Below are 15,176 nucleotides of genomic sequence, written 5' to 3' on the forward strand. Positions count from 1 at the left end.
AATATTGACAAACTTATTCTCAATGCCTTTATGCAAATAATGCATTTTCCAGTTCAACACAATTCCTTCATTCCCCAGAACTTTTATCTTTTGCGATCCAAACATTAATGTTTCATATCCAGCAATGATCAAATTTAAATTCTTCTGCTAGGGTTTACGTATATCTAAGCCAGTTTTACATCAATAATTGTTCTTCTGTTCTTCATTAGCATTAGAGATGGAGAGAAAACATGCTAGACTTACCCACACAAGGCAGGGAGTAGCCAAGTTGAGGGTCGTGAACAAACTGCCGATCATTGAGTCTTGTCACACAGTATAAGTGGAAACAGTCTAAGCAAATCACGTGGCGGGAGTTGCACTGGAAAACCAGGACGGGGCTCCTGCAGAGAGAAAGGAAGATGTTTCCTCTAGTACCTGTCAGTGTGGAAAGGCAGCACGTGCTTTAGACCAATTTCTGTAATCCTGGAGGGTTGTGTAGACTGTGCTCTGTGCAAAGACCGGAGCTGCTAAGCATTAAGCTCATGTATACCAACACAACATCTTAAAAATTGGAGGCACTCAATGAACTACATAGAAAACTGATTCTCCTAATTTTACATTTTTTATGTTAACACATTTATCAATCTTTTGATTAAACCTGAGCTAAAATATAATCTCTTTCTGGAAGTCTTCCCTGACTCAGAATTCCCAATTAACCTATCAAATCATCCCATCTGCTTGTATATATTTCTATTGATCCGTTATTACACCACAGTATTCATATCTTCTCCTTTCTCATAGACTGTGATCTCCTGGAAAGTAGTTCCTATGTTTATTTTGCTATTCCCATAGTACCAGGCATTGTAAAGTTTTAAATGAATGTTTTAAAAATTTAAATCTTTAAAACATTTTAAATATTTTTTTCCTCCAAAGTATTTTAAGGGAATCAAAAAAATTTAGGACTTGTATATAGTGATTTACTAGTAATCCCATAAACATAATTAGAGAAAATTCAACAGTGAAATAACAGATTTTCAAAATTCTGCTATCCCACTTATTTTAAAGCAATATGTAATACAAAACAAAGAAAATAAAATTCCTTGGTAATTTAATTATAACTATGTTATAACAATAGAATCTGAATTTCCCCACTATCAAAAGAAAAATTACTATTGCATCAAAGTAAAAACGTTAAACATTTTCTCACATTTTATTGGCAAATAAAAAAGTAGAATTTAGGGATAAAAGGTTATCCAACAGGGATTCTTCTACTGCAAGATTTTGTCTATTGTGCCATCTCGAAACCATCCAAATATTCAGTTTCTCAGAGTATGGTTATGGGATTACTAATTAATCAATATATATAAATCCTAATTTTTTTTATCCCTTTAAAATACTCTGTAGAAAAAAAAATCTTAAAAGCCATGTATTTTTACTGGAAAACGAACCACACAAGTTTATGTCAAACAGGAGACAAGCTCAATACATGAATTTGAAATCAGCCCCAAGGCGATTTTAATAGTAAGAAAGTTATTGGAGTCTATTTAGATAAGCCTATTTCCTATGTAATTGTAACAAAATACAAAATAAACATGTTCATTTTATACCCAATCTTTAACGCCTATAAGAGCTCTTCAAAAGCCCTTTTTCTAGAGAAATGAATAATACTAATAATATAAAAGATAATTTCTTAACACCTAAAAGATTTTCAAAATTCTGTTATCCCACTTACTTCAAAGCAATATGTAATACAAACAAAGAAAATACAATTCCTTGGTATTTTAATGCCATGGATGTGTAAGTAATCGGTCAACTTAATCTGAGCAAGGGCGCACCTAAAGGTGCGGCTTCTCCTTTCCCCTCTTGGAACCTATCCAAGTCCTTCATAATGCTTTCCTATTTCTAACCAAACAGTCACTCGCATACACATGCTCAAGCACACACATACTTTTTTCACTTTGCGACCCTATGAAGCTGCTGTATTCTACCTTTTTCTCTCACAGCTGTTATGTGAAAAATATTCTCCATCTTGCTTTCAGCAACATGGTAGACTAAAACCTTTATAGACCTCCCAATCTGCTACTAATTCATGGAGAAAATATTAGAACATTTATGAAAATGTGCCTGTATATAACAAAGTTAAAAAGAAAGCTTAGAGGCCAGGCGTGGTGGCTCACGCCTGTAATCCCAGCACTTTGGGAGGCTGAGGCAGGCGGATCACGAGGTCAGGAGATGGAGATCATCCTGGCTAACACAGCGAAAGCCCGTCTCTACCAAAAATACAAAAAATTAGCCCGGCGTGGTGGCGGGCGCCTGTAATCCCAGCTACTCAGGAGGCTGAGGCAGGTGAATGGCATGAACGCGGGAGCTTGCAGTGAGCCGAGATCGCACCACTGCACTCCAGCCTGGGCTACAGAGTGAGGCTCTGCCTCAAAAACAAACAAACAAAAAAGCTTAGAAATGACCCTGTAGAGGAAACATAAAGAAAACTTACAGAGCCTAAATGGTCAGCCCACGAACTCCCGCCACAGTGGCCCAGAAAGCCATGGCTGCGTGGTATGCGGCCATCAGTGTAGCTTCTGCAGGCTTTTCCATTCCTGTTAGAAGAGTTCTCTCTCACATGGATGGACAACAGCACACTTCTATAGTTGTCTCCTTCAGTTTTAATATGATCCCAAATGACTCATACCATCTAGACAACACATGGAACATCAATTGTCCTACTCTATTAATGACATCCTGCTATTTGGAGAACATTAACAAGAAACAAGCACTACGTTGGCGGCCATGGTGTGAAATCAACCCTGTGCAGTGACAGGAGCCATTAGGGACATTAGGGAAAGTTTAGAGGTCCAAGTCTTGGGGCCTGGAAGTGCACACCTTCCAATATAAATAGTCCATCTTACCCATCCTGCAACTGGCAGTGAAGCATAGACAGCTGCAGATGCGGTGGGTCCAGAGTTTTGGTTCCCACAGAGTGAAGTGTATCTTCCTAGGGACACAGGAAGAGTCCTACTGAAAACTAAGCTACAGCTGCACCAGGCCACCTCAACCTCCTTGAACTGAGGATGTCTACCTTGAATAAAAAATAGGAGAAATTGGCACCAGGTAACAGTGGGTTACCAGAGAGTGAGCAGTGAAGGGACTAGCATTGGAAGTGAAGACAGAGACTCATGTAACTCCCTTGAAGAAACGCCACTGCCCAGACGCAGGTGTGGAATGCAACCGGGGAAGCTGGAATGTTGTGTGTGTTTCTGCATGTCCTCTTCGGAAAAGAAAGAAATTTACAAGTTACAGGGAGTCAAAAATGATAAATGAGTCATTCAGGAATTCTGATTGTCTATTACTATACATACACAGTCAACTTGGATATATACCTATATACAGATATAGATAAATGATAGATACAGATATCAATATATGAATGTATGTGCTAAGATACACAGATGAAGATATAGAAAAGTATATATGCTGCCTTTATACACACACACGCACATACACAGATAATGTTATAAAGACGGTGTATATGTGCATTTCACATAGAATTATCAGTCACCTGGAATTCTTGATACAGCTGTGAGCTAAGATTGCTCCTCTCCTATTAAGATATTCCTTGTAGTTTTGGAAAGTTAGGTGAGGAATAAACATGACACCAATAAAAAGTTATTAGATTAATCACCTAAGGAAAGGAGTAAAAATCTTTTCATGGCTAGAAGGTCTACATCATTAACTTCCTAAATGCTAAATCAAAGAGGAGGGGAAAGCTAGTGTTTATGGGCACCTACTTCGGGTTAGGTGGCTTGCTAGGAACTTCGCAGACTTCCTTTCATTTCATCCTCGTAAAATAAACTGCCCCTCCCCTACCGTCCATCCTGTTCTCTCCGCACCTCCGTCCCCTCCAGCTGGGAAGGTCCTTGCGTAGCCTAGGATTCTTCTAGTTCCTGTACACCTAGATGCATGCTCTTTGCCATCTAGTCTCACGGTAATACTCACCTTCATATTCAAAGCCAAATCACAAATTCCTAGGTCCAGTTCAAGACTAAAGATCTCCAAGGAACTTTCTCTGGAGCCTAACACCTCACTGCCTCTTCCCTTTTTCTTTACCTTTCTTCAATAGTTATTTAAAAAGTTCATCTGTAATGTACTTCAATACTGGCCTGACTTTTGTTTAAAGTGTTTCATATACTCCTTCCTTAGCTATCAACATTAAATGAAAAGTCATGAAATTGTAGAGACCCTACTTGCTTAACCCTTTCATGACCCATGCCTCATCAAATACAATGCTGAGCACCTGATCGTTTTGTAATCAAGAGTTATTGATTATTCTAGTGGATAAATGAATGGGTCACTATTTTTGTAGTTTCTCATACTTTTATAATTTCTCTGCTCTCATTTACATGTTGTTCACTAAATTTCTTATTGAACATCTACTTTGACTAAAGTAGGCACTTAGTAAATGCATGTGGACTACAGCACCCAGTGAGTGGATAAATACCTTATAGTTATACTTGGCTTACACAATCACAGGGCGTAGTTGAGAGACATAAGATTACCATGGAACAAGTATTACAAGGAAGTATCTGTAATCCCCAAACTCTGGGAGCCCGAAAGTTAGGAAAAGAGAATTATTGAGTCAGGATGGATCCATTAGGGAACTTGAATTGAATTTAAAGAAACGGGAGGATTGATGTTTGGTCACTGGAAAGAAATGTTGTTTCTAAGCAGGAAGGAATCACAGACATGCAAGTATGCTTGGAACAGAAGAGAAATCAGGTGGGCTGATCAAAAAGATGTATCAGGAAAATGGTGGGGGACAAGATGAAAAGAGTTGAGAACAGAGGAGATTCTGGCCAGGGATCAGGGTTGACTCTAGGAGACACACCTAGCATAAGGCCTCTAGACTGTGGGATTCACTGAAGGTTTCTGCTATGGTCTGAATGTTTGTGTTCCCCAAAATTCGTATGTTAAAATCCTTATCTCCAAAATGATGGTGTTAGAACACGGGGTCTTTAGGAAGTGAATGGTGTGAGAGAAGAGCCCTCATGAATAAAATGAGTGCCCTTTTAAAGAGACCCCGGAAAGCTCCCACACACGTTCCACCATATGAGGACACAGTGAGAAGCCACCGTCTATGAACCAGGAAGTGGGGATCTCACCAGACACTGGATCTGCCAGTGCTTTGATCTAGGACTTCCCAGTCTCCGGAACCGTGAGAAATAAATTCCTGTTGTTTATAAGCCACCAGTTTATGGGATTTTGTTATAGCAGCCAGAATGTACTAAGAGAGTTTTTAAACATGGGAAGGGAATGATGTTTTAGTAAGTTTAGCTCCGACAGAAGTATGGAGGGAAAGCTGGAAGTAGTGAGAACTACTTGAGGTCATTTTGATAATTTAGACATGAGTTACTAAGAACTGGACTATGATGTGCAAATGGCTCTGGGAGTGGAAATGAGAAGAAGAACGGGTGACATTTCAGAGCAGGACCCGCCAGGACTTATCCTCTCATGGGTCTTTTGTTCCTCCTGACATTCCTGTGTGCCCTTTGCTCTAATTATCTACATATAAATGTTAATTGATCGATCCAGAGATGATTTCACCCCAATGGGCCAGGTTAAAGAGCGGTAAATTAAAGGTTAAGTAAAGTTCTCAATTATATATAAAAAGACTTATAAATGCTTTCCTTGACAATGCCAAAGAGTTATTTGTAACCAATGATTTCTCTGTTTTGATAAAAAGCGACCCTTTGTTTGCAGAATATTTAAGCACAATTGAAGGAGTTTGAGTTACAAATAATGTGGCAAGTCATTCACATACATTAAAAAAGTAGAATATGGTTACACAGTGTTCCAAATATTTAAATTCTTGTAAAGTTAGTATTCTAGCATCTACAAAAATAGCATGCGAGTTTTTATGTTTATCTAGAAAAATGTGCAATTTACTCTGCTGTCCACCTTGTTTGTTCTCTCTCATTTGCCCTCCTTCACACACTCTCTGGCAAAATCTGTCTGTTTCTCTTTCTCTCCATTTGCCTGATTCTTTCCCATGTGTACATCTTCATTTATACTCATTAAGAGAGAGGCTGTGGATGAAATGTGACATATATCGAAAGCAATGTGCCAGATATTTCAAGCTATGCAAAGATGAGGAAGCAAATCTAAGCTCTCAAGGACATATAAATCCAGTAGAGTGGGCAGGAGAGGGAAACAAATACTTACTATACAGGACAGAATATTTTAAGTCATGTTAGAGAGATAGGATATATTGCCACGCTCACGCTCTGGGGTAAGCAGCCTTCAAGATGTTCTCCAGTGAGCTCCACCTCCTCTGTAGTTCCTCTCCACATTGAATGGATTGACTCACATGCAATAGGAAAAGTGCAGAAACGGCAATGTGTGACTTCCAAGAGTAGGTCAGAAAAGACACCGCAGCCTCTGTCTGTGCTCTTACAGATCACTTGCTCTGAGGAAAGCGAGCAGCCATGTTGGGAGGACACTCAAGCAGTACTATGGTGAAGTCCATGTAGCAAGAAACTGGGGCCTTCTAACAACAGCTGGCATCTACTTGGCAGCCAGTTGGCAAGCCCTAGGATGACTGAAGCCCTGGCTGATATTTTGACTATAACTGCATGAGATACCCTGAGCAAGAACTATCCAGCTAACTTGCTCCCAAATTCCTGACCTGCTGAAACTGTGAGAGGCAATGTTTATTATTTTCTTCAGCCACTAAGTTATGGGATACTTTGTTATTCAGCAATATCTAACTAATTCAGGTTCAGAGGAGGAGGAGGTCATATATAGGTTGAAGACCAGAAAAGAATTCATGAATGTAGGGGCATTTGAAAAACGGTCAGGATTCCAGTGCATAAAGATGCAGACAACACCTGAGGTCAAGAGAAAAGAATGGAGCTGTGAAAGCACAGAGCAGGAAAAGAGAATGCTCAGTTATCAAGAGTGGCTGGTTTCTTCATTCTCCCCAGTGGAAAGCAAAGTTATTACATATGTATGAAGAGCAGCAGCATCTGAAATGCAATGAAAAGCAGCACAAGTTAAAATAAAAATATTACGTGCAAAATCCTTGAGGAAATAAAAACTAAATTTCCTCACTTGAGGGAGAGAGTCTTGCAATTTAGCTAACACTTGACCCTTGAAAATTCACACATTGTTTCCACTGTTCTTAGTTTGTGCAATAGTAACACAGAAGTCATGCCCCAGTTAGCAATCTTTCAAAGCTCTCTGCAAACTCCACACATGGAGAACTATGACTCCTGGGCATTTAACACAGTATTTGATTAGATAAAAGTAATTAAAAGAGGAAAGCTACACCATTAAAAAACATGAATTTATCTTCTTAACGACTGTCACTTTAAGCCCCTTTTAGTTAGAGATGGCTTATAAACAAGAAATAAATGACTGAAATCTCAGAGACCAAATGCATTTTAATTTGATCTATATTTGGCAAAATTACATACTAATTGCCAAAGTGCACGACTGACAAAGAAGTAACCGGCACAGCGCCTGCCCACAACAATGCCAGAGAGAGCATTTCAGCCCACGTGGGTCGTATGAGTTCATTATTTGAATTAGCCAAGTGAGCAACCCCCCTCACTGGAGAGGAGCCTGCTCCGAGATACTAATTGATAGACTCAACTTTTAGAAATTAACATAAGCTTCAACAGTTGAATGATCTTCAAAATTCCTTCCAGCAGCCAAGTCTAAAATCCTGAAATCAGTTCAGTTGTCCATTGGCCTGCTTAGAATCACAGTCCTATTAAGGCACTGGCAGATCCTGAATCAGCTCACTAACTACCCCTTCTGGTTTTTCTTGCCTCCTCTGCTCATGTTCTCCCTGTTTTATCCAGTCCACTCTGCTGCATGGAAGAGGGTTTACTTTGGTTCTGTAAGCTTATTTGCAGAAGTCCCAATATTTCAGCATATACAACGTAGCCAAGGTAAAATTCATTTATGTCTACATTTTTGAATCACTTTTATTCACCCATTCTGCCAACACAGTGGACCGGCCACTAGATGCCAGGCAGTGTCATGTCACATCCTATAAAAGTGAACAAGAATGTTCCATCTCCTCAGGAGGTCACAGTCTATAGAGTTGAAGACAAATAATTAATTATTCATAGTGTGGTAAGCACTACCATAAGGATGAATTTGGAGACACCTAGCCTATCTCTGGGGTTGGAGGAAGGGCTCCCAAGATAGCTCATGGCTCAGTGCATCCAGTCTATATAGTGAGAAGAGGCTGAACAAACTAAATGGCTTTTCCTGTTTATAAAGGTTTTTAACAAATTACTACATAAAATAATATTGTAAATATGTTACAAAGGATTATGAAAATATAAATTCTCTATCTCCTTTCCTAAGAGTTCCCTTCTCCTCTTAAATTCTCATCCAGTAAGTCAACATCCCATCTGGGGTATTCAATATTGTTAAATTCAAGAGACTTTCTAACCTCGGTGTTTGTTTCCAAGTTTGACTCTGCTGCTATCTGCCCTCGGCACTCTGTGGACCCTCCTGTCAGGCACGTTCCCTTTCACTCCTGGGCAACGACTTGATTTTATGCATCTCGTGGCATTGGCTTGTGTCTACCTGGAATTTTTTTATTTAAAAGTTCCCTATCAAATTAATTATGTTCCCATTGATAGGTTAACTCATTTTATTTACTGTCATGAAAGGAAATAGAAAAGTTTCAAGTAACAGCCACTTTTTCTGTTGCAGACATACTCCCTTCAATATATACCTGCTGAGGTTGAGAGTCTGCAACACAGGTGCTATAAAAATAATTGAGTCAAGATTTAGGAGTGGCCACGGTGCAGTGTGCCCCAGAGCAATGGATTAGGTCTCATGAGTGTTGGCGGAGTCTGAATTCTCACGAGCGTCTGTCTGGCCAAGACCTACATCAGCACCGAGGCTGTCTCCATCCCCTCTTCCCTCCCTGGACCCCCTGTCTGATCCCAGCAGCTCACCCCAGCAACACTGTTCTAAAGAGGCTTCCATCCTGACAGTTCTTGGCCCCAAAATATGAACTAGTTTCGCAGTGCCCATGTATTAAGGCCTCAGGTTTTTCTTCTATCTTTTGGAGCCTCCATAAGCTGGATTCACCCTATGGAATGTCTTTCCCTCTTTCCCATTCACGAATCCCTCTGTTTCTCTCAAGTCAGTCTCTTTGCTGCTTTCTTCCTTATGCTCCCATCCCTACAGGCAAGACTCCTCCTCTTAGTCCTTATTCCCCCCAAAACTACAAGGTTCAGCTGAGGCGCAACCTCCCCCATAAGCTTTTTCAATAAAACTCCAGATAACATCGATGTGCTATTCACTGTCTAATTTCTTGTAATGTTTACATTTAGAAAGTATTGCTTTTATATTTAACTTAGCATTTTTTTTTTGAGGTGGAGTCTCGTTCTGTCACCCAGGCTGGAGTGCAGTGGCGCGATCTCAGCTCACTGCAAGCTCCGCCTCCCGGGTTCACGCCATTCTCTTGCCTCAGCCTCCCGAGTAGCTGGGACTACAGGCACCCACCACCACACCCAGCTAATTTTTTGTATTTTTAGTAGAGACGGGGTTTCACCAAGCTAGCCAGGATGGTCTCAATCTCCTGACCTCATGATCCACCCGCCTCGGCCTCCCAAAGTGCTGGGATTACAGGCATGAGTCACCGTGCCTGGCCTAACTTAGTATTATTACATGTTATTTGTATTACTGTTTTCTTTTCTTTTTTTTTTTTTTTCTTTTCTGAGACAGGGTCTCACTCTCTAGCTCAGGCTGGAGTGCAGTGGCGCAATCTCGGCTCACTGTAGCCTTCGTCTCCCAGGTTCAAATGATTCTCATGCCTCAGCCTCCCAAGTAGCTGGGACTACAGTCACCTGCCACCATGCCTGGCTAATCTTTCCTATTTTTGGTAGAGATGGGGTCTCGCCATGTTGGCCAGGCTGGTCTTGAACTCCTGACCTCAAGTGATCCGCCCGCCTCAGCCTCCCAGTGCTGGGATTACAGGTGTGAGCCACCGAGTCCAGCCTCCTTTGTATTGTTTTCTACCTGCTTTATGAACCTGCACCAGGTCTCTCCAACTCAAATTCAACATATACTAATTGGAAGGCTACTATGCACCGGTCCCTGCACTAGACCTGAGAGGGGGATGCAGCTGTTGCTCTCAGGAAGTCTGTCTGATGATGAGAAAACTCAGTCAGGGACACCTTGGAAGATCTAATAAGAGGCCACTCAGTCCAATGTTGGTCAGGCACAGGATATTTCCTGAAAGAAGGAAAATACAAACTAAGGCCGAAAAAGCAAAAATGAGTTAGCCTGACCAAGAAACTATAGGGAAGTGGGAAAAAGATGTGAAAACACTTCAGATGGAGTAAAATTAGGTAAGATCAGGGAACCATGCTGTATACGGTATTTTCATACTGTCTTCTCAGGCTTTATTAAAGTCCCAAATTCTTCCAGAAATTAAAAATTATATTAAAATATAATGATAATGCTTCTATAAGCCACATACATAAATCTGCGTTTTAGGTTTATATAATATCCCAAGTGTGGTTGAATTGGGTTCCATTGTTTACAACATTTTGAGCCATTGACAATAAACTGGCTACGCAAAATAGAAATACAAAGCCACGATTACAAGATGGAATTAATGTATTATTAATTTTCTCCAGATGATTTCAGTCCTGGAAGATACCCATTTGCCTTTAGTCTAATTTGTGTATTGCATTTCTAAATATAATTACTGTTGACAGGTTGAACCCAAACATAACCCATTAACTTCTCAAAGTGCTAGATTGAAAACATTACAATGTAACAAGAGATATTAGAAATAAAAAAATTAACTTCTGTTCTTTTTAAAAAGTAAGTTAAAAGCAAAGATGTCAGTCCTGTTTTGTAGTAATTTGTTAGAATGATTTGGTTTACCCTAGCTTTCTTGCCGAGGCTTTTATACTAGAAAACAGACACTGACATGTAATTGTAAATAGTGGATAAATCATAATGAAATAATTGTTGCGTGTAAAAAGAAAAGAAAAGAAACTAAAAATTCCAAAGGGTATTTGGCCCATGGGAGAAAAACGCAGCTCATAAAAAATTATCACGATACTTTCCTATCCCCCAGTTAATGGAGTTATGTTTTTTCAAGGATGCTCAAAATTACGTTTATAATAGTCCAAGTTCTTCAGACTCTAATTTCAGGTCACATTCTATTCAGACTGTCGATATGTATAACTAAAAAAAGCTCAAGCCAGATTTAACATAAAATAGTTTCTGGGTCATATCATTTGCACAGAGCTGTTATGTGGCACAACTATTTAGCTGTTGGAGATGCCATCTGTAATACATACTAACTCATGCACATATCTTGTCTTTGTTTTTGCCTCTGTGCAAAACAGCTAGAAGCAGATAATGCCCAGATCCACTGCAAAAGCATTCTGCTAAATTGAGAAAGATATGAAGACAGATCTTGTTTGGATAAGAACCCCACTGTGAAATAAATTGTTCTGATGTATCCCCAAACCTCATGACAGGAAGAATTAATGTGCTAAGAATCAGTCCAGTGGCCATAAATGTTAGAAGCTATTTAACATAAGAAATTATTTCAGACACAGAGTGGTTTTAAAAAGATACATCTTTTGCTGTTGACTCACCAAAACCCTGCACAAACAATTGTGTACCGGTTTTTCATTCATTCTTAAAATGAATGAATGTAATCGTATGCTGGGTCTTTTCTTTTCTTTTTATTCTTTCTTTCTTTCTGTTTTTTTGAGACAGAGTCTCACTCGGTCACCCAGGCTGGAGTGCAGTGGCACGATCTTGGCTCTACAACCTCCGGCTCACTGCAACCTCTGCCTCCTGGGTTCAAGTGATTCTTGTGCCTCAGCCCCCTACGTAGCTGGGACTATAGGCACACACCACCACATCTGGCTAATTTGTGTATTTTTAGTAGATGGGGTTTCGCCATGTTGGCCAGGCTGGTCTCAAGCTCCTGACCTCAAGTGATCCACCTGCCTCAGCCTCCCAAACTGCTGGGATTTAAAGGCAAGAGCTACTGTGCCCAGTGGGCCTTTTATTTCTTTTATTAGAGGAATATTTAAAAATCAGGTTGTCTGAAGTAGAGTGGTTTGAAATGAGGAGTCTGCCGAAAAGATTGTAGACATCTTAAAACAGTTCAACAATGAAAATGTCTCAACATGAGAAGGTACTGTGAAATTTCTAAGGTATCATTAGATGAGTTCAGCATTAAAATATTGACATAAGAATTTCTGGCATATAGTAGATAAAATTATTTTCCCAACTTAGTTGTTTTTGCTTGTTTTACGTGTATCCAGAAAAGGATTGTATACCATCCCAAAGTATTTTCCAAAATATAATAAAAATCAATATGGCATAACAATACAAATCAAAATGAATTCAGAGCCAGGCGCAGTGGCTCATGCCTGTAATCCCAGCACTTTGGGAGGCCGAGGTGGGTGGATCACCAGGTGAGGAGATCAAGACCATTCTGGCTAACATGGTGAAACCCTGTCTCTACTAAAACTACAAAAAATTAATCGGGCGTGGTGGCACGCACCTGTAGTCCCAGCTACTTGGGAGGCTAAGGCGGGAGAATGGCTTGAACTCAGGAGGCGGAGGTTGCAGTGAGCTGAGATCGCACCACTGCACTCCAGCCTGGGTGACAGAGGGAGACTCCTTCTCAAAACAAACAAGCAAACAAACCAAACCAAACAAACAAAAAAAATGAGTTCAGGTGCAAACCCAAGATAAAGGAATTCATGCAAAGATGTGACTGTCCACCCAGCACATGGGATGCAGCTGGTGGTTGAGCGAGGTTTGTAAAGAGCCCTAGGAGGGTGGTGTGAGCCGGCTGCAGCATTAGCTGGCCTCAGAATCCCATTTCTGTGAAACGAGGACCTGTGACATCAGCAGGTTAGATGGGACCATCTCCAGAGACTTTCTGGATATAGAGGTATTGCCATCTTCAATTTATATGATCACAACATTTCTTTTTTATCGAAAGCTTGTAGGACTTAATCCTCACTTGAAAGCACATACAAAGCCTATTCATATTTTGGATTTCACCTTTCTTGAATTAATGCATATGCTGCAAGCAAGGGTGAGAAACTGGAGATTTCTAGAGATTTTACTCCCTGGGAGACTTATGAGAGGGAGATCTTGATCCAGAGTATTCCAGGAAGATCAGAAAAGATGTTTTGGTGTTAAAAACAAAAAAGGCCACAAAATATTACATATAGCTTTTAGTTTTAAGGCTCCTTTGTTCTTTTTTCAACTAAGTCAGCTGATCACCAGGGCCAGGCACGCTTACATGGAAGAAGAGCCTGTGCAGACAGGCTCCCTGGGTCAGCCTGGGCCTCCCTGGGTCAGGCGCCCCTCCACTGTGCTCGGGGCTCCCCCACACACTGCCCTCACCCTTTTCATCACAGGTCCCCGGGGTACTCACCCACTGGCTTCAATGTCTATGTTCTCGCCAGACTAGAGGCCAGAAAACTGGGATTTGGCCCTCAGACTGCTTTTGCCAATAAAGTTTTATTGGAAGCCAGCCATTTTACATATTACTCGTGGCTGCTTTTGTGCCATAATAGCAGCATTCACTAGCTGTGACAGGTCCTAGATGGGCCACCAAGCCTAAGTTACTTCCTATTTGGCCCTTATCAGGACATGTTTGCTTATTCCTGTTCGAGGCTGTTGACTCCACAAACACAGGGCTATCTTTCTGTATTCCCAATGCCTGGCCTGTGGCTGGTGTTTGGTCAATGTTTATGTTCTCAGTGACTGACAGTTTGACTCAAGGAATGAATGACTATCAAGGAACAGGGACAAAAGCGAGGCAAACAACAATTTTTGCAGTGTCCAGAGGTCTGCAGTAGATGACTGGTTTTGAGCTAAGCCATTCAACTGCTGTCAAAAGCTGAAAACACCATCTCCCCCCATCTGCCAGAGTTAGGCTCATCCGTTCAGAGAGCTGAGTCCAGTTTGGAGAGCACCCAATACTTGCGACTTCCACATAATGGAAAGGAAAAGGCACAAGAACTTTGAAGAGGGCAAATAGGACAAAGAACATATTGATTCCCTTATTGAACAAAAATGTACTGCATGCCTACTATGGGCCAGGCACTTAGCATTCAGGATGTCATTGTCTCTTCAGATTGGAAGGGATAGGTATTAAGCAAACAAGTAAAAACTAGCAATGAAAAGTGACAGCAAGGAAATGCCATGGGATCATGTGATAGTGCTGGTGCACTGCCCATGCTGGGTGGCCTGGGAAGGCCTGGGGATGGGACATTTGCATTGCCATCTCAATGACAAGCCATGTGCAGGTCTGGCGTAAGAGGGTTTGCAGGGAAGGAGCAAGTGGAAAGGCACTTAGGTAGGAATGCTGGGCATTTGTGAAGAATTAATCAGGGGGTTAGTGTTTTGGGGACACAGTTACCAAGGAGGCAGTGGAGCAAGATGAGGTCTGAGGAGATGAAGGAAGCCACATGGGGCCTTTAAGACATACTCAGGAATTCAGCGCTTGGACAATGGCAAGTCAGGACAAAATTTTAAGTAGGGATGCAACATAATACCATTTATGTTTTAAAAAATCACTCTAACTTGAGGTAACGAATGGACTGGAGCAGGGCTACAAAGGAAGGGAGATGCATGGACATGGTGAAAGCCATCCAAGTAAGAAAAGAGAGTGCCGTGGATCAAGCAGTGGAGAGGGAGAGGCAACGACAGGTAGACAATATGTTTGGGGCAATCGAGTGCTTGATGTCTCCTACCTAGCTTTGCTTTCCTACTACCATTTGCAGATTTCTCGCTTTTTAGGAAATCTCAGAATCATGCCCCAACATCCATGGGTTCATGGTTCTAAAAGTCACACCTTTCATATTACTTTAAATGGAAATGAACCCTTTCTGGTTCTAAGCAAATTTAAAATCTTTGCTTAGAGCCCAGATTAAATGATAATGAGCCTGGTAACAAAATACTATATTAATACAGTTTTAAAACTATAGCTCCCTTTAAAAAACATCCACTGGATTGACTGATCCCCTCTACCATGCCCAGTGCTGGGCACAGAGCAGTGGGCATGGGATGCATGGGCTCTGCTCCCACTGATGACCTGTTGTGGGCAGTGTCTGGCCTATGAAGCCCCGTGAGGCTGTTGGGGGACCATAGCTGATATCTTCAACAGGGGA

General features: G+C 41.0%; 1 protein-coding gene across 6 annotated transcripts in view; it reads right to left on the reverse strand.

The window, feature by feature from the left end:
• The window catches only part of PRKN (parkin RBR E3 ubiquitin protein ligase), a 1,380,350-nt gene that overhangs the window by 438,112 nt on the left and 927,062 nt on the right, over positions 1 to 15,176 (reverse strand). For all 6 annotated transcript variants that reach the window (XM_024446449.2, NM_013988.3, XM_011535863.2 and 3 more), the window contains one exon: positions 244 to 380. In XM_024446449.2, coding sequence (XP_024302217.1) covers positions 244 to 380 — 137 coding nt within the window. The remainder of the gene's footprint in view (positions 1 to 243; positions 381 to 15,176) is intronic.

The sequence above is a fragment of the Homo sapiens genome, chromosome 6, assembly GCF_000001405.40.
Source record: "Homo sapiens chromosome 6, GRCh38.p14 Primary Assembly".
In the NCBI taxonomy this organism is placed as follows: Eukaryota; Metazoa; Chordata; class Mammalia; order Primates; family Hominidae; genus Homo; species Homo sapiens.